The sequence below is a fragment of the Homo sapiens genome, chromosome 3, assembly GCF_000001405.40.
Source record: "Homo sapiens chromosome 3, GRCh38.p14 Primary Assembly".
NCBI classification, from domain to species: domain Eukaryota; kingdom Metazoa; phylum Chordata; class Mammalia; order Primates; family Hominidae; genus Homo; species Homo sapiens.
This window is the reverse complement of record NC_000003.12, coordinates 62,548,576-62,568,756: the sequence shown is the minus strand read 5'-3', so window position 1 is coordinate 62,568,756 and position 20,181 is coordinate 62,548,576. Positions and strand designations below refer to the sequence as shown.

The following is a 20,181-nucleotide window of genomic DNA, read 5'->3' as shown; positions in this document are numbered from 1 at the left end:
GAGACAGAACCAATAGGATATATGTATATAAGAAAGGGCATTTATTAGGGAGAACTGGCTCACATGATTACAAGGCAAAGCCACACAATAGGCTGTCTGCAAGCTGGGGAAGAAAGAAGCTGATAGTGGCTTATTCTGAGTCCGAAAGCCTCAAAACAAAGGAAGCCAACAGTACAGCCTTCAGTCTGAGGCCAAAGACCTGAGAGCCCCCAGCAAGTCACTGGTACAAGTCCCAGTGTATAAAGGCCAAAGAACCTGGAGTCTGATGCCCAAGGGCATTAGGAACAGAAGGAACCATGTAGCAGGGAAGAAAGACGAAAGCCTGAAGACTCGGCAAGCAGTCTTATCCCACCTCCTTCCACCTGCTTCGTTCTAGCTGCACTGGCAGCTGATTGGATGGTGTCCATTCACACTGCGTGTGGGTCTTCCTCTCCTAGGCCACCAACTCAACTGTCAGTCTTCTCTGGCAACACCCTCACAGACACACCCAGAAACAGTACTCCACCAGCCATCTAGGCATCCTTCAATCCAATCAAGTGGACACCTAATATTAACCATCACAAGTCCTGGAACCATGGCCAGTGCTGCTAGTGTGGTCATGAGACAGACTGGCTCTGACCACTTTCCATCCTTGCATCTCTCCTTGAGGGTCAAATTTCATAAAGGGAGAATTGGTTTAGTCTAACCTGGTTCACTCCCAACTTTTAGCAGGAAGAAGGGATGGCACTTGGATTGACAGTCCCACTGGATTGTCTTTCATGCAAAATCAGGATGCCATTACCAGAAGGAGAAATGGATACTGGGAAGGTAAAAATAACTGGTATCCACTTTAAAGAGCATACAATGTAAATGGGAAGACAAGACACATCAAGAGGCAGTGCTGTCCAGGAGCAGTGGCTGACGCCTGTAATCCCAGCACTTTGAGAAGCTGAGGAGGGCGGATCACATGGGTTCAGGAGTTTGAGAGCAGCCTGGGCAACATGGTGAAAACCCATCTCTACTAAAAATACAAAAACTAGCCAGGCATGCTGGCTCGCACCTGTAATCACAGCTACAGGGAACGCGGAGGCAGGAGAATTGCTTGAACCCAGGAGGCGGAGGCTGCAGTGAGCTGAGATTGCGCCACTGCATTCCAGCCTGGGAGACAGAGTGAGACTCTAAAAAAAAAAAAAAAAAAAAAAAAAAAAAAAAAGCAGTGCTTAGTCATGGATGGTTCTCGCCCCTCAGTGCTTCTCATTGCACTTGGCACAGCAGTCTCTCTTGGAATCACTTGGGAGCATGCCTGGCCTCCCCGATAGACTGTGCACTGTTTCAGGGCCAGTTTTGTTTCTGATTCTTTTTTGTGTCTTTCCCTCTTTCCTCCACCACACGCATACACAGTCCCTAGCCCAGTGTCTGGCAAAGAAAAGAAAAAGGAAGAGAGAGGAGAAAAGCTCAGGCAATACCTTGGGTGGTGCTGAAAAAGGAGAGATCATGTGCTCCGAGAAGTGGCTGGTGACAACCATTCTCAGATTTCTGAGAACTTTTGATATGATGAAGTACTTAGGAGAAGTAGATGACCTCTTATTTTGGGAGAGGAAACTCTGCAGGAAAAACAAGAGGAAATATGTGGAAAACATCAGTAAAGCCATGTCTGTACAGTAAGTACAGGGAGAACCAAAAGGGAGAGAATGATTTTTTCAGGCAACGGGAACACAGGTGTTTAGAGCCTTCACACTGAGCCTTCTAATAAGAGAAGATGAAAGTCACACAGCAGCTAAAAAGCAAGCTCTGTGCTCACTTCTGAGAATCATAAAAGGGCACTTCTCATCTAAAGCTCAGTATCTTTCCTAGAAAGGCAGGAGAAAATAAGTTCAGAATTCTGTGAAATTTTTCATGTACATATGATTCTCATTAACTTTAAAGAGCTGTCAAGGTATGTTGGGGACATCCATCCCCCCAAAAAAATCTGTTTCAGCCTGAATCAGATTTCTCCCTTAACAACCTCTGTGACACACAGAGGTGACGTGAGAGTCCCATCATCACAAAGATAATGGGGGAGCCAGGATGACAACTCAGGTCTTCTCTTTCAATTCTTGTCCTATTCACCACAACAATATCTAAAAGCAATTTGCTGGCATACCCAGAAAATACTGCATTATTTTTAAATTCTTTCCATTTTTTCTTCTCCCCTATTTAAGTGATCACATTTAGAAGCACTTTATCAATATCATAAAGAAAAAAACACACTCCCTTTGAAACAACCCCAATGCCATCAGAGCTGCAGGAGGAAAGTTCAAGGCCACCAGTGCTGGTCCAATTCAGAGGAAGCTAAAATGTCTCAGGTTGCTGAAGGAAAGGATGTCAATCCAAGCGGTGGCAATTGGCCCCCAACAGCTGCATGCAATGTTGAATTCAGTCATATGTACAAACGATTTTCAGTTTCTCTTTAGCCACCAAACCCTTACTTTGAAACTCAAAATGCAAACATGAAACCCGGAGAACCACCCTGGTTCAATTTGCAGAAGCGTGAGAGTTCTGGGGAAGGGAGAAGATTCCCCTAACCCCGCCCCTGCTCCCAGGCAGCCTTGGAGGGAACTCCCTGGAAAACAGTGTGGAAACCACCAAACAGAAAGTATATCTACCCAAGTGACTTACGGAATCTTTGTGTCTTTCAATTCAGATGTTAGATCTTATGGAATGTGTTTATGTAGAGAGCTAGCAGCACACAATTTCCAACACAATTATGATTTAATACATTAGATTTAAAACAACGAAAATTGTCTGAAAAAACAAAGATGAAGAGAGGACATCCAACATTAGTCTCCTCAAAATTCATCTCCTGCTCTACACATACACACAGAGTCTACTTTTTTGCTTATAACGTGTAACAATTAAAATTCTCCCTGACTGAGATTTCCTATTAGTACTACTGTCTTGGGGAACCAAATTTTAGACTATAAACGGACTTCCTACTAGCCAGGGATAAAGGATATACTCAGAGGAGTGCTGGACCAAAGTAGCAATTCCCATTTCTTAAGGATCAGAGCTAAAATTACTATAGATGTGGCTAGAGTCTACCCTACCAACTGTGAAGGGAATGAAGCAGTTGCGAGGAGCTTCTGTGACAGAGATTCAAGCATTCCTGTGCAATGAGAGAGTGTCTGTAAATGGGGGCCTGGACCATCTGCATTAGGTGTTGTTTAAAATGCAGACCCCAAGGTGCCATCCAGAAGACTCTGATACAGTAAGTCTGGGGTGGGGCCCAGTATTCCGTACTTATAAAAGGCACCCCAGGAGATACTGATGCAGGTGGTCCAAAGGCCACCCTTGGAGAAACACTGCCTTGGAGGTCATTATCCCGCTTAAAGTGAAGGGTCTCATTCCCTTCAGATGACACCATCTTAGAGTTTATGTTCTCTATGGAACCGAGCATCAGAGTAGCTAAATAGATGACTATATTCAAATGGCACAATAAAGCCTCCTCTCGCCATCTTCCTTGAAATTCCAATATATGTCCTATAAACTTGGCTGGCTGCAAACCCTAACCCAGAGATCAAGGGGAAATGGGCCTTCAGCACCCTGAGTCAAGAAATTACTGGGGCCTCATTCTAAACCCTCGGGTCCATGGTGAGAACCAAACACATTGATTACTACTGTTAGTAACTCTAATGTGACCAAATCAACACTAATGATAAAGGTGCCAATTCCATAGAGCACTGCTGGATAGCCAGAACGCCCCACCCCGTGTGTGTGTGTAAGGAGAACAGTGAAAACAGGCCAACTTATCACCCATATCAGGTTAGAAAGTCTTAACGCTTTCATCTTTTTATTTAAAAAATATTTTTATTCTGTGATCAAAAGATTTCTGGTGCCCAGACATGGTGGCTCATGCCTGTAATCCCAGCCCCTTGGGAGGCTGAGTCAGGTGGATTACAAGGTCAGGAGTTCGAGACCAGCCTGGCCAATATGGTGAAACCCCATCTCTACTAAAAATACAAAAATTACCTGGGCATGGTGGCATGTGCCTGTAGTCCTAGCTGCTCAGGTGGCTGAGACAGGAGAATCGCTTAAACCTAGGAGGCGGAAGTTGCAGTGAGCCAAGATCATGCCACTGCACTCCAGCCTGGGTGACAGAGCAAGATTCTGTCTCAAAAAAAAAAAAAAAAAGATTTCTGGTTAAAATCTACTTTTTTGATTGGTGTTCAAATAATTTCTGAGACATTTCTCCCCATTTTAGCACTGTACAAACTGTAATATTCTGTGGTTCCTCTAATAATGTGGACAATCACTTATATTTATATGGTTTCTTAGAGTTTACAAAGTGTTCGTCAAGCTGGTCTTCACAACCTTTCTGTACTACAGTGAGGACAAGGCTTTTCGCAACTTCACATTAGAGGAAACTAAGGCTCAGAGTGGATAAGTGGCCTGCCCAAGGTCAATGGCTTGTAAGCAGCCAAATATGAAACCTAACACAGGCCAGGCACGGTGGTTCACGCCTGTAATCCCAGCAGTTTGGGAGGCTGAGGCGGGTGGATCATGAGGTCAGGGAATCTAGACCATCCTGGCTAACATGGTGAAACCCCATCTCTTCTAAAAATACAAAAAATTAGGCAAGCGTGGTGGCGGGCACCTGTAGTCCCAGCTACTTGGGAGGCTGAGGCAGGAGAGTGGCATGAACCTGGGAGGTGGAGTTTGCAGTGAGCCGAGATCATGCCACTGCACTCCAGCCTGGGTGACAGAGCGAGAATTTGTCTCAAAAAAAAAGAAACCTAACACAGGTCTTTTGATTGCAAGTGCCTTCAATAACTCCTAGCACTTAGACAGGACTGGCACCTGAAGAGATTGATGCATACAGAATGTTATATATATATGATGGAATACTACTCATCCATAAAAAGGAATGAATTAATGGCATTCACAGCAATTTGGATGGGATTGGAGACTATTATTCTAAGTGAAGTAACTCAGGAATGGAAAACCAAACATCATATGTTCTCATTCATAAGTGGGGGCTAAACTATGAGGATGCAAAGACATAACAATAATACGATGGACTTTGGGGACTCAGGGGGAAAGGGTGGGAAGAGAGTGAGGGATAAAAGACCACAAATTGGGTTCATTGTATACTGATTGGGAGATGGGTTCACCAAAATCTCATAAATCACCACTAAAGAACTTACTCATGTAACTGAATATCACCTGTTCCCCAAAAACTTATGGAAATAAAACATTTTTTAAATAAAGCATTGTGTTAAAAGAATGTTCTAGAACTGAATTACTCAGATAGAACCAACATGGCTCCTCTGTTTCTGATTCCCAACTGAGAATGTTACCAAAAATTATGTTCCAGCTTTCAGAAAAATCACTAAATCAGAATAAGATAAAATATTGTTAGATAATATATAATGCCTTGGAATACAATAGTAGTCACCTGGGAATACAATATTAAAATGAGTTAACCACAAAAATGAATTGTAAGACATATGAGTAGTTGAAGGATTTGTAACTCCAAATGTTTGTTTTTGCCACTCCACAATTGCTCTATAAGACATTTATATTTATATTCTGGTTATCAGATATCTGGTTATCAGATATAGTCTGGTTATCAGATATCAACCCAAACAGACTTAAGTTTTAAAAGGGCAAGAATTGTATTGGTTAACTAATTAAACTAGTAATTAGCTGGAGGGTCTTCTGTCATGACTAGATCCAGGACTCAAGCAATATTATCAAGCCTCTGTCTCTCAATATATTTAATCTTTTGGCTCTGCTTTCCGCTGAATTGACTTCACCCTCAGGCATGATCTCTGGCAGCTCAAGCCTTACAAAAGTTTACCAGCCCCAGAGAAAACTTTTCTTTAACAATTGTTCCAGTACAGGCCCTCAGTTAGCTTTCTTTGGCCCAGTGTGGTGCCAAATCCTTGCACCAGTCACTGCAACCAAGGAGATACTATGTTGATTGGCCAGGCATGGGCCAAGTGTTTTACTCACCCTACTTCCAGCTAGATGTGCAGTTACTCCCACACAAACCACTTGCCCTGAAAGTTGAAAAGAGAGTGGTTCCCAAAGGAAGACCAGGATTCAGTTGTGGGAGGGCAATGAATGGCCTGCATGCACACATAAGAAATGCCCCCACAGAAGGCCAGGTGCAGTGGCTTATATCTATAATCCCAGCACTTTGGGAGACTGAGCTGGGACGATCACCTGAGGCTAGGAGTCTGAGACTAGCCTGGGCAACACAGTGAGACTCCATGTCTACAAGAAATAAATTCTTTTTTAATTATCAAAAAAAGAAATGTCCCACAGATGTTATCATCATCCCCATTTAAAGATCACAAAACCATGTCCCAGAAAAGTTAACTGAACTGCCTTGGTTCACATAGAAAATAATGGATCTGAAAACCAAATCCAGTTCTGCATGACTCTAAAATCTATTCTCCTTCTCCTCCACCAAATGGCCTTCACTTCAGTGCCAATCAGGAGTCTGGGATTTAGACACTGTGATCCTTCATTCGCAACTACATCACATTAAAAATAGTCCTTAGTCTCCAGGAACTGTGATTCACACCATAAAAATTTTCTCCATGCTCAGATTTTGGCTCAATCCGTCAATGCTTCCTCAGGAATTCCTTGCCCAACCACCCATCTAGACCAAATCTCCAAGCTCTTACAGTACCATATACCTCTCTTTTTAATATTTGCCACTATTAAAATAACACATTTGTGAAATCATGGGATTAATGTCTACCTTCATGCTAGACATGAGGGCAGGAATCACATCTGGTTTTTTGCATGTTTATAGTCCTCGAACCAAACACACTACCTACGTATTTGTTGAAAGAATGAATGTATCTATTATAAACAACTCTTTTCTAAATTATGTATATGAATTTTGGACAAGGGCTGGTGACCAGAGTTCAGTAAAAATAACAGCTGATTAATTTTCAAAGAATGATGGTAAAAGCAAGGAAAGAAGATTTAGACAAAATACATTCTACTGTTGTATGTCCAAGTATTTTAGTCTCCCATAGGTGATAAGAAGGGGAGAGGAGAGTTGGGGACAGAAAAGTCTAACCTTTTCATCTCATGACTGGAATCTACTTGCTAACTATAATTGAAACTCAAGGGCAATCTTAGAGGTTATGGACAGTTCCTATATATTAAAACCGTGGTTCTCAGATTTTAACATGTATTAAGAGATATCTGGCCAGGTGTGGTGGCTCATGCCTGTAATCCCAGCACTTTGGGAGACCAAAATGCGAAGATCACTTGAGCCCAGGAGTTCAAACCAGCCTAGGTAACATAGTGAGACATCCCCCCCACCATCTCTACCAAAAAATTAAAAAAAAAAAAAAATAGCCAGGCATGGTGGTACATGCCTCTAGTCCCAGCTACTGGGGAGGCTGAAGCAGGAAGATCACTTAAGCCCAGGAGGTCAAGGATGTAGTGAGCCATGTTTGTGTCACTGCACTTCAGCCTGAGCGACAGCAAGACCCTATTTTGAGAAAGAGAGAGAGAATCTGAGACAGTTATGAAAAATGTATAATCCTAAGGCCCACTCTGACCTGAGATTCTGATTCTGGTCTGACTTAAAGAATCTACATATTTACAGCCTAATCCACCCCCTCACCCCCCACACACTATCTAATAATAAAGGCAGCTGTCGCCATCCACTCTTTTTTTTTTTTTTTTTTTTGAGATGGAGTTTCGCTCTTTCTCCCAGGCTGGAGTGCAGTGGTGCGATCTCAGCTCACTGCAACCTCTGCCTTCCCATTTCCAGCAATTCTCCTGCCTCAGCCTCCGGAGTAGCTGAGATTACAGGAGTCTGCCGCCACGTCCAGCTAATTTTTGTATTTTTAGTAGAGAGGGGGTTTCACCATGTTAGCCAGGCTGGTCTCAAACTCCTGACCTCATAATCTACCCATCTCAGCCTCCCAAAGTGCTGGGATTACAGGCGTAAGCCACTGCGCCCAGCCCACCATCCACTCTTTAAGGAACATTACTTCAAAGCATTCTGTAGTTTAAGCACGTGACTGGAAATGAGCTAAGGATTTTTAAAGGTGTGTCTGAGGTGCAGCCAGCTTTAAAATAAAACCTCGCTGACTGTTCCCTCAGAAGTCCCAACGGCCTGTCCTGTGATTCCATGAGAAGGTACCTACCCTATGAAAATCCCAAGGATGTGAAAGACAGAGTTCTTTAAGCCCTTCTCTGCAAAGTGCACTTTCAGATGTCTGCTGATCATTTGAGATCACTAGATTTTTATGCTTTCTGTTGTAGGCCAGGCTGTCTGACAAGGGTGGCTGACTTTCTCACTTCTAACATGCATTCCAGGCTCTGCCATGCCTTTATTACAACAGTGCTCACTGCCTCATTAATTTTTCATCAACAAAATACAGTTTTAAAAGAATTCTACTACGACAGAGGAACATGCATTTCATGGGAAATGGCTTTTACTTAGTGTGGTCTTGTGGAAGTTTAAAAAATAAATGTAAGGCTTTCCAAATCTTTGCAATTCTCCCACCATTCAATCAGTCTATAAAAAGTGAGATTCCCCCCAAAATTTCCAATAATTAGAATCATTCAAAGAGAAATCATTCTTTCTCCCCTCCTTTATTTCCTAAAGTACATTGCAAAATCCTAAATCAAGATGCTCCCAATAAACCAACTCAATTTGGTTTACCAACTCAAAGCAATTCAGTTTGTGGAGAGTGACTTCAGCAATATAACCAGAAGAGGGCATCAGCATACAGCTCTCCAAGAAGGAAGCCACTGAAATAGAAAAGGAAAAAAAAAAAAAAATTAAAAAGCCCAAACCATGTAGTAATAGTAAATGCATAAATCTTGAAATAACACCCTTCTGTTGTGATTTTTTTTTTAAATCTTAAGTGAGTGTCGGCAACTCTCTGTTTGGCCAATCACATTAACAAACTATGTCATCTTTCATGTTGTCAGATGAGAAATGCCAGGTTAAAAAAAAATCCGGCTGGGCATGGTGGCTCACGCCTGTAATCCCAGCACTTTGGGAGGCTGAGGCGGGCAGATCACCTGAAGTCGGGAGTTCAAGACCAGCTTGACCAACATAGAGAAACCCTGTCTCTACTAAAAATACAAAATTAGCCAGACATGGTGGCGCATGCCTGTAATCCCAGCTACTCAGGAGGCTGAGGCAGGAAAATCACTTGAACCCAGGAAGCGGAGGTTGCCGTGAGCCAAGATCATGCCATTGCACCCCAGTCTGGGCAACAAGAAGAAAACTCCATCTAAAAAAAAAAAAAATTCCCCATGGGACCGTTCCAGCAGTATCTATGATCATTGTCATGCAGAGGGTCACAGGAAATCTGTTATCCCTAGGATCAATAATAACAAGTTGGAAAGGCCTGGTACTGTACTTGGAATCCCCTGTAAATTTGGGGGGTAAAACCTCTTTATTGGATTGTATGTACTCAACTTTCTAGAACCAATCAGATTCAACTAGTGAATGCCCATTATATGGCAGATTTTGCTTATGAGACTGAAAATACAATCAAGACATATGACTCCCTAGACCTGTCTTCAATGAATTTATAATCCAGTAGGTAAATCCACCTATTAAGCTATACTATATTAGAAAGTGTGTCAAATGCAAGGAAGGGGCCTGTATAAATGCATGTGTATATGAAGTGTTCGCTCTATGGGTATCACACATGGTATGTAAAACTCAATTAATTCTCTAGCAACAATAAGATGCAGGTAAATACAGATGAAGACTCTGAGGCTTACAGAACGGACAGCTTATCAGAGCTGGGATGGGACCCCAGGCCCATGGAACCCTCAGCCTACACTCTTAACCTTCCATTTTAGAAGAGTGTGCTATTGATTACTTTGTTTATTACAAAAAATTAATATGTGTTCCTTTATGAAAATACTCTCAGTGACCCAGCCTTAGGTTTCCCCTGGCATTGTGATATAAGGAAGAAGTTCTGCAAACCCTATACATTATAAAGAAACCCAAGTGGGGCGGTAAAGTTTCCATCAGGAGCCAACAGAGGGCAGCAACAGACAAACCAACTACCAAAAACATCCTCCTGCGGACACCCTTCATCTCTCCACTGGGACCCTCAAGCCTCGGACAGTGCGGGAGATGCATGTAGCACTCGAGAGCGTCAATTTCTTATCACCATTAAAACAACAAAAACAAATCTCACTATAGAAGAGACTAAAAATGTCCCCCACTGGGATCAAAGTTCACTTAGAAAGTGTCTCTTTTAATAAAGGAAACTAAGGGATGAGGGATGTGGCACTCCTTCTCTAAGACATTTGACATCCGTGGATAGTAAATATGCCTGAGAGCATTTAGCCCAAAGCTAGGAGGATGCTTGCTTTCCCACGGGCTACTTGCAGACAAGCCAGATGTAGAAATGCTAAGTATATGTGCTGGATCTGGATGCACTAGAGTGACAGGGTCCTGAAGGCGGGCCTGCAGCTGTGAGCACCCGCCCTGCACTGGCATGGTTTGTGTTGGTAGAGTGAGGGCTGCCATTAGGGCACAAGTGACAACAGCCACGCCATTGTGGGGGCTGAGGATTGCTCTACTGTGACTGGCACCTAGCGATCAAGCGCTCATTGCTTGTGACAGCATGTCACTCCTGCACTTGTCTGAGATAAGAAGAAGACTTCAAAGCAACCAAAGTACTCCTTCAGCAGGAAGAAGGGGACAAAACATGTAGTTTGATGCTGATCAAAATGCTGCAAAAAATAAAATACTGAAATAAAAAGGCATGAATAAATGAATGTCTAGCCTCTAACTTCTGACCAAAAGGCCCATGTTGTATCTGCGAGCATGGCAGTCTCAGCCAAGGCCACAGTCACATTAGGTAGAACATACAAAATTGCTGTCGTTTAACCACTTTTGACCTACAAAAATGGCAGTCACATGTAGCTTAACCCAATTATATTAAAAGCAATAATGATAATAGCTAACCTTCATCAAGTACTTACTAAGTGCCAGGAACAGACTGTAAGTGCATTCCCCACGTGAACTCATTCAGTCTTCACAGTAAGCCAATGAGGTAGGTTCTAAGATTGTATCCAGTCTACAGATGAGGTTATGAAGGACCAGAGAGGTTAAGTAACATGCTCAACGTCACACAGCCAGGAGGTAGCAAAACTCAGTTTGAACCCAGCCACTCAGTCCAGATCCTCAGAGGAGAGAACATGGGGGAGGGTTTTTTGGAGAAGACAGGCTCCAGGGGTCAACCTCACAATCTGCTTTTCCTTAACAGGTCAGTCAGTACACGTTTGCCATGTGCAGTTATCGGGAGAAGAAAGCGGAGCCTCAGGAACTTCTACAATTGGATGGCTACACTGTGGATTACACCGACCCCCAGCCAGGTACCCACCGACCCTCAAGGCCACGAGCCCACAAACCCTCAACCTTCCCAAATCAATGGTCAACTAATAATTGCTGGGCACTTACTCCATGCTAGGCACTAAGTCAATTCACTAAGGGTTTCAGCTGTGTGCATGACAGTCACAATCCCTGATATTATGCCGTTTCCATCCCGGTTGGTTAAATGCCATCCTAACCTAGTGCTTTGGTTTTACTCAAGGGATTCTCTAATTTAAACCCAAAAAGTAAGAGCATTTTTCTTTTACCTGCCTGTATCCACATCAAATATGGACTCCACCATACAATGCTAAAAAAAAAATTCTGAAAAAGAAGTAGTCCCACATGTACACCAAGGAGTGTGTGTGTGTGTGTGTGTGTGTGTGTGTGTGTGTGTGTGTGTGTGTGTGTGTGTTGTTTTTCACCAGTGATGTGTGGGCTTGGCAGGTTTCAGTGACCAAGGGAGCCTGCCCAATATATCCATTTTCCCTAGCTACAATTCAAGAGATCATAAGGTTAGCTGGTAGCACTTGAAAACCCTCCCTAAATGTCTTTTTCCCTAAGAAGACACCAATCCACAAGCAGAGACAATGAAGCCCTTAAGCCTTATGTAGCTAAGAAAACTACACGAGCGGTAGTATTTCTTAAAAGTTCTACACCGCATAAGTTCTACATCCTGCCCCCTCGCACCTCTCCCCCCACCCATTTTATCTTTTTCCCAGAAAAAAAAAATGAATAGAAATCAGCCTCAAAGAACCTTCAAAATGGGAGGGGGGTGCGAAATCATTTCAGCATATTAATGAACAACAAGCACCAACAGCCCTCTCCCGGAGAAGTTTATTTTTATGCCAAATCTGCACAAGGAAAGCATTTCCAACCATACTGCATTATTTGGCCCAAAACCTTTTTTTCTACTCCCATATTGCTCTTCCACATGCAACAAAATACACATAAAAGAAAAACAGAGTTTGAGAGAAGATGGGGTGCTAACCTGAAAAGGTGTGGCAGGGAAGGCCTTGGGCCCAGCCCACTTAGTAAAATTAGCACCTGCAGAATCTCAACCGAGTGACTGGGCCCAGCGCCACCCCTTCGGTCTTTCATATGTTATTTGCTACTTGCCAGAGCAGAATGCAGAGCTGACCACATAAGGCATGAATTAAATGCTCTGCCTGGAAATCCTTCATGAGCAGAACCAACGAGTTTGAAACAAACAATTTCATGCAACTTCTCATGGAAAGGATGGGGCTCCTGCCTTAGGAAACCAGTCCTTAGGACATTCTGTGATGGTTTGTGTTCTTCTTAAGCCATTGTGTATCCTTCAAAAAAATAGATTCAGTCCTCCTTAGGACTTTTATTTTTAAGTAGAAGGCTAGGGTGAGGAGTGGTGGCTCACATCTGCAATCCCAAGGCGAGAGGATCGCTTGAGACCAAAGTTCACGACAAGCCTGGGCAACAAAGCCAGACATCATCTATACAAAAAAATTAAAAAATAACCAGGGCATGGAGGCACACACCTGTAGGTGTGTGCTACAGGGAGGCTACTAGGGAGGCTAAGGTGGGAGGATTGCTTGAGCCTAGGAGTTGGAGGCAGCAATAAGCTATGATTGCACTGCTGCACTCCATCCTGGGTGACAGAAATAGACCCCAACTCAAAAAATAGAATTGTAAAGAATAATAAATTTTTAAACATAAAATGGGACGCTAAAGGGCCAATATGAGAAGGGAAATCAATACCACCTTATGACAATAATTGCTTTTAAGCCAGTTCATTTTCCTTTCCCCCCATGTGATTGTATTTAGCCCTCAGGGTAATCCCACAAAGTGGATAAGACCAGGATCATTACCCCATTTTGTAAATGAAGAAACTGAGATTCTGAGATATCAAAGGCTATTGTTTAAGACTGCCTGGTGGCTGAGCTGGGACTCCGGGTCTAACCCATGTCACGCTTTGGCACTTGCAGTAAAGCATAGCTGCATGAACAGCTATAGCAAAGCTATGGTTGTTACTTTATCAGATGAAAGCAAAATTATCTTCACTCAGTGGGGAGGGCAGGAGTGGAGAGAGCTATTCTATCTACATGTGTAAGGAGTAACTGTGCACATATATTTTTAAAGCTTATTTCTTTTTACATCGATCCCATGGGATATAATTTATAAATTTCTATACGAAAGATGTAAATGGAAAGATGTAAAATGTAAATCAATTATGTTCTTGAGAATAATAAGCAGCTTCTTCTATCTTTCCATGTGCTAAGTCCTATTTATTCCCCAAGTAATGTCTGATTGAAAACGGAGACTTAAATTCTCTCAGTTGTCATGGGAAAGTCTAACTCAGAATTTTTTAAAGAGTGATTATTGGCCAGGCGCGGTGCCTCACGCCTGTAATCCCAGCACTTTGGGAGGCTGAGGTGGGCAGATCACTTGAGGTCAGGGGTTCGAGACCAGCCTGGCCAACATGGTGAAACCCCATCTCTACTAAAAATACAAAAATTAGCCGCACGTGGTGGCACGCACCTGTAATCCGAGCTACTCGGGAGGCTGAAGCAGGAGAATCGCTTGAACCTGGGAGGCAGAGGTTGCAGTGAGCCAAGACTGCGCCACTGCACTCCAGCCTGGGCAACAGAGAGAGACTCTGTCTCAAACAAACAACAAAAAAGTAATTATTAAAAATAAATGTTCCTGGGCCCCATTTCTAACCTGTGAACCAGAAGTAGGGAGAGGTCAGAATCTTTGTATTTAAATAAGCACTGCAGGGGATTCCTGAACACAGTAACATTTGCCAGCTGGAGAGCCAAGTAATGCACATTTTAACCAATGTCCTCAGATTTGAGGAGTCTCCTCAACTGCTCCCTGAAAGGTGAGTGTGCAAATGGGGAGGACTTCAGACTCTACCTCTCTCCCTCTTTCTCTTGGTTTTATCCAAATTGTCAGTGGATCCACCTGGTGGCGATTTTGTGTGCTAAGAACCCTTGTGGCCTGTTGCTCTCTGCCATAGAAGGGAGGGATGCAATTAATATTGTTGCCTTAGTACCAGCCTACAATCTACGTGGTTCCCCCAGACACAAGCATTTCCACTAAATAAACTCTACCTGTTTGGGTCCTTGACGTGTTCATTTGGTGAACTGGCAAATTATGTAAGTTTCACTTACAAGCTACTCCTTTTAAGCTAAAAATAAAAATGCATCACTTTACCTTTCCCTGTGTATGGTTTGGAAAGTTTGAAATAATCTCAATTTCTATCCGATTAGATAATTAAGCCTTCAAATAAAAGAATATTAATCCAGAATAATTCAATGCCACAGTTTATCAAACAACTGAATTATTCTTATACGACTCATAAAGACCTTTTTTACCCTCATAAATGGACTTTGGCCATGCAAGTTGTTGGAAGTGCAATTCCTTTCCCCTAGAGAGCTGGCCAGCATTCCTTTGCCTGGTCTGCCTCCATCTATTCCCAGACGTGTCTTTTTGTCTTTGAATTGTGGGACTGTGCCCCTCGTTCTCCAAGGAGAGCCCATTTGAGGTCACACATCACATTCTTCAGATTCAGTCCCCAGGAATTGTTGCTTTTTCTAAGACTGATGGCCTTGTGGTTATGACATGTGGATCTTCACTTTGTGGATGTTCACTTTGCTTTCTCCTCTCTTGGTTCTCTTTCATCTGTCGCTCTTCTATCTCCTTCTTGCTTTCCTTGGTGTGTCCTCAGCCTCTGGTGCTTTCTGAAAAAGCCCTGTTGCTCTCTGCTGCTGTGCTTGTCATTGCTGCCATTTCTTTAGATGTTTCTCTTTGCCCTTACCCACTCCAAAATTAGGCTTCATTTTATTGTTAATAATGACTCTTAAGAGAGCTGTTAGTGAGGGCCCAGCCCTGGATTCATGCTTTGGTGCAGTAAAGCACAGTGGTTATAGTCATCAGCTGTGGAGACAAACAGCCAAGGTCAAAAGCCAGCTCTGACACATACAACCCAGCTTTGTGTCCATGGGCTAGTTACCACCTTCCCCATGACTTAGTTTCCTCATCTGTAAAATGGAATAATAGTACTTACATCATAAGGCTGTTGGGAGGATTGATTAAAAATATAAAAACTTCCTGGTGTCTTTCCATCTCTACCTCTAAATAACTGCACAGTGGAGAGGGCTGTCCACTTCCCCAAAGTAACTCCATGAACTGACTTTCTGACGGTAGCTCCAGAAATACAGTATCTCTACCCCAGCAGCAGGCCCTGGGTGAGGGGGAGGCCTTGGGGCTAGTAAAAGTGATACCTGATCGTGTTTGTCCTGGCATTCCCTGACTGTAGCAAAACAGCTTATTCCTAAGGATACCACGAGACTAGGCTACAGGTCTATTGACCTGCTCTTCCTTTTTTAACTCTTTATTGCTCACTTTTCAGGCTTAAAACAACTCTCAGAGCTCTTCTTCCTCCTCCTTCCCCTTTCAGAATTTTCCTTTTTATTGTGCTATTCATTAGGTTCATCAGATTTTCCCAGCTTGCTAACTACACATCATCCTACTCAAATTAGGTATTTTAAAACTTTCCATATGAAATTAAGCAAAATAGTCCCTTATAATAAAAACCACCAAAAATCTTTTAGTAAAGCTTTATTGGTGTGATATTATCAGACCCTCCATATAAAGAAGTAGCTATTTATTGTCCTAAATCCCTGGCCATTCCAAGTGCAAAACTATCAATACACACCCACGCTTGCAGCATAGACACCTCAATAAATTGCATCGGCACAATGAAGAAGTCTTAATGTTACCAGAAATCTTTTCCAATGACAAATGTCAAACAGATTACTGGCTGGACCTCACTGGAAATTTGGGGATGCTAATAACTCATTCATTCTCCTCTTAGTTTTTAATAATTGAGGAGGCGACGAGGAACCTGATGAAGATATGAAGTATTATTTCCAGCTAGAGAATGCTGAGTAATCTAAAATACAGGTTTCTAGAATATGTTGATGGACACAATGTAGCTTTGGCCTGAACCCAAAGAGAAGTTTCCACCTACTTCTCACTAATTTTTTATTTTTTATACTTTAAGTTTTAGGGTACATGTGCACAACGTGCAGGTTTGTTACATATGTATACATGTGCCATGTTGGTGTGCTGCACCCATTAACTCGTCATTTAACATTAGGTATATCTCCTAATGCTATCCCTCCCCCCTCCCCCCACCCCACAACAGGTCCCGGTGTGTGATGTTCCCCTTCCTGTGTCCATGTGTTCTCATTGTTCAATTCCCACCTATGAGTGAGAACATGCACTTCTCGCTAAATTTTAACCTTGAGAACTGCCCATGGAAAAAGATGGATCTAGAGCATATTCATTTATTCAACAAATATTTGTGCACCCACTATGTGCCATGCACTATTCTAGGCTCCAGGGATACAGCAGTAAGCAAAATAGACAAAAACTACCTGCACTTATGAAGCAAAGTAAATTATATAGTTTGCTAAAAAGTAATAGGAGCAAAAAAGAAAAATTAAGCAAGATAAGAGATAGGTCACAAGAAGGGAGGTCAGGGAAGGTCTCAACAGGAATGTGATGTTTAGGAAAAGATACAAAGGAGATAAGAGTGTGAATCATGCAGATACCTGAAAAAAGAGTGCTCCAGGCACAGAGAAAAGCAATTGCAAAGGTACTGAGGTGAGCACATGCCTGGGGTGTTCAAGGAAGAGCAAGAGGCCAGTGTGGCTGCAATGAAGTGAGTACATGTGTGCATAGAGGGAGAGAGAGAGTATTAGGAGAGGAGGTTAGAGGTGGCAGAGGACCAATTCATGGGAGGCTTTCAGGCCTTGTCAGAACCAACGCTTTTCCTCTGAGTGGAACGTGGAACTGCTGGCAGGTTTTGAGCAGAAGAGTGACAGGACCTGACTCTAGTGCTAAATCAGGGACTCTGGCTGCCTTGTGAGCATCAACTATAGAGAATGAGGATGGAGGCAGACAGGTCAGATAGGAGGCTATTAAAATAATCCAGGGATGATCCTGGCTACATTTATGATGGCCGCAACTGGAGATGGAAGAAGTGATCAAATTCTGGTAATGTCCTAACGGTGGAACCATCAGAATTTCATGATTCATTGGAAGTGGGTAGTGAAAGAAAGTAAAGAGTCAGAATTGACCCCAAGACTGGGGACTTGAGTGGCAAGAGAGATGGGCTCAGCTTTGCTGAGGAGGTCAGGGAGAAAGACCAGGAGTTCATTGTTGGGTTTCACAAGCTTGGGATGTCTATCAGATATCCCTGGGGAAAAGTCAAGAAAGATATTCAAGTCTGGAGTCCAGGGGAGAGGTCCAGGTTGGAGAGAGAAGTGTGAAGGCCATCAGCATACTCATGGTACTTAAAGGCTGGTTGGCATCACCATGAGAGAGGGTGCTTCTAAGGAAGAGAAGAAGGGCAAGGACAGAAGCCCAGCATTTAAAAATCAGGAAGAGGAGGAGGAGGAGCCACCAGACAAGACTAAGGAGCAGCAGCCAGGATGGTAGGAGGAAAGTCAGGGTTTCCTCCTGAAAGCTAAGTAAAGAAAGCATCTTGAAGAGAAGGGAGTGCAAATGCTGCTGATAGGTGGGTGGGCCCAATAAAATGAGGGCTTTTAATCAGTCATTGGATTCAGCAATGTGGAGGTCACTGGTTATTCAGCAATGTGTCCACTGAAACCTGGACAAGTTTCAGTGGGGCAGCAGCCTGATTGGAGGGGTTGTAAGGCAGAAAAGGAGGGGAGAGACCCTTGCTACTCAACATGTGGTCCTCACACCAGCGCCATCTGAATCATCTGGGAGCTTGTTAGAAATGCTGCACCTCAAGCTCTGTTCCGGACGTACTGAATCAGAAGCTGCATTTTAACAACATGCCCAGGGGGTTCGTATGGGTACTAAAATTGGAAAAGCCTTGGTAGAGATTTCCCTTTCGTTGTAAAGAGAAGAACAATAGGACAGTAGCTGAAGGGAGAGATGTGGTAAAGAGAGGTTTTTGTTGTTGTTTTGTTTGTGTTTAAAGATGAGGGAGAAAATAGTATGTTTATAGGCAGATGTTTATCCCCCAAGCAGGCAGCCTGCTTGGCAGTTCTATCCCCAGCAGGACACAAAAAGATAAGATCCAGGCTCAGAAATACTTCTTCAACATCACGGTCCCACTCTGTGGACAAGTGAATCTCAGACTTCCCATCCTAAGTTAATCACTACCCCCCTCTTCTGTCCCAAGGAAAAGCAGCAGAAACTGCTTTTTCAAAGGCTGAGTCCAGTTGAGAACATCACAGCTCAGCTTAGTAGAAGTTGTTACTCCCTTTTCTTCCAGGTTTGGAGGGTGGCCGAGCCTTCTTCAATGCTGTCAAGGAGGGAGACACCGTGATATTTGCCAGTGACGATGAACAAGACCGCATCCTGTGGGTCCAGGCCATGTATCGGGCCACGGGGCAGTCACACAAGCCTGTGCCCCCGACCCAAGTCCAGAAACTCAACGCCAAGGGAGGAAATGTACCTCAGCTGGATGCCCCTATCTCTCAATTTTGTAAGTAAATATGCCGTTTTACAAAAATAGCTCTGTAGAGTAAAGTAAACCTTCCAAAGTTGAATTAGAAAACCTAGTTGCTTTTATACTTAAAATTTATAAAATCATGTTTGCTGAAAACATATAGTGAATTCAGGGGGAAAGTTGGGGCAAATGTTAGATGAAAGTAATTTTAAAGTGCAATACTTGACCTTCTCCCACAAGCACTAAATGAAGGAAAGTGTATTTTAGGTGGATTTTTATCTCTGTTTTGGTGAGAGTACAGAATTCACAGCCAAACATGTATTTGTTTGAGTCCTTCAAATATAGTAGATTATGTATGTCCTTGCTTCATTTCTTCCTATTAAAAGTAATTTAAAAATAGGGTTGATTTGAAATCAACTTAAATCTGCAATTTAGAACCATTTAAAAATAAATGATGACATTATCACATGCAGCGAAAAAAAAAAAAAAAACACAAAACATGGTACCTAAAATCCCATTCCGAGCTAAAATACCGAAGACCCAAAAATGAAACTGTCTCCTTAAACAGCCCCAGTTCATATTCGAGTTTTTTCTCCTCTTACCTCTGCATACATTTAATTTCTTGCCCCTTTTCCATGTCTTCTTGCTACCTAAAATGGCTTTTATCTATCAATACTTCTGATACACAGGGTGAGGTGAAAGCCAGTACATGTTTGGAAATATTTATTAAAACAAAGAAAATGGAGAAATAAAGTAATTCATTTTCGTTCCAAACATTCATTCTAAATAGAGTCTTTTGCTTTACCCTGAATATCAAGTCAATCAGAGATGACACAGGTACAAGTCATTTTTAGCAATAATCATGATGATTTATTACTTTAGTATGGAATTCACTGATTCATTCTAGGTCATTGAGCAACTGTCTAGAAATAAGACATGCTAATGAGAAGGACAGACAAGGTACCAGCTCTTATAATACCTGCATCCCAGTGGGGAAGCCTAGATAGTAAACAAGTGAACAGATAAATAAGAGAGCTTCAGACACTGGTAAATACCATGAAGAATGTCATTTAGTGGTGACTGAGTGAGAAGGAGAGACATTAGACAAACAAAGAAGCTTTCCCTGAGTTTAGGTTCAAAGGATAGGTAGTCAGCCCCACAGATATTTGAGGAAAGAGAATTGCAGCTGAAGGAAAACAAATGCAAATGCAGAGACTTAACCTCTAACACAGTGCTTGCACGATCTCTCCTCTGTTGCTCTTAAACAGAATATGGATGTGGGTGGAATAATTTTGCAGCTGTAACTACTAAATAGAGGTAAACTTGTATTTCAGTGAATTCTACTGCCATGTCCATTTCTGTC

The 20,181-nt window shown here is 42.6% G+C and overlaps 1 protein-coding gene across 51 annotated transcripts in view; it reads left to right on the top strand.

The window, feature by feature from the left end:
• Positions 1-20,181, top strand: part of CADPS (calcium dependent secretion activator) — a 477,069-nt gene that overhangs the window by 306,660 nt on the left and 150,228 nt on the right. For all 51 annotated transcript variants that reach the window (NM_183393.3, NM_001438352.1, XM_011534199.3 and 48 more), the window contains exons 10-11: positions 11,244-11,352; positions 18,642-18,854. In NM_183393.3, coding sequence (NP_899630.1) covers positions 11,244-11,352; positions 18,642-18,854 — 322 coding nt within the window. The remainder of the gene's footprint in view (positions 1-11,243; positions 11,353-18,641; positions 18,855-20,181) is intronic.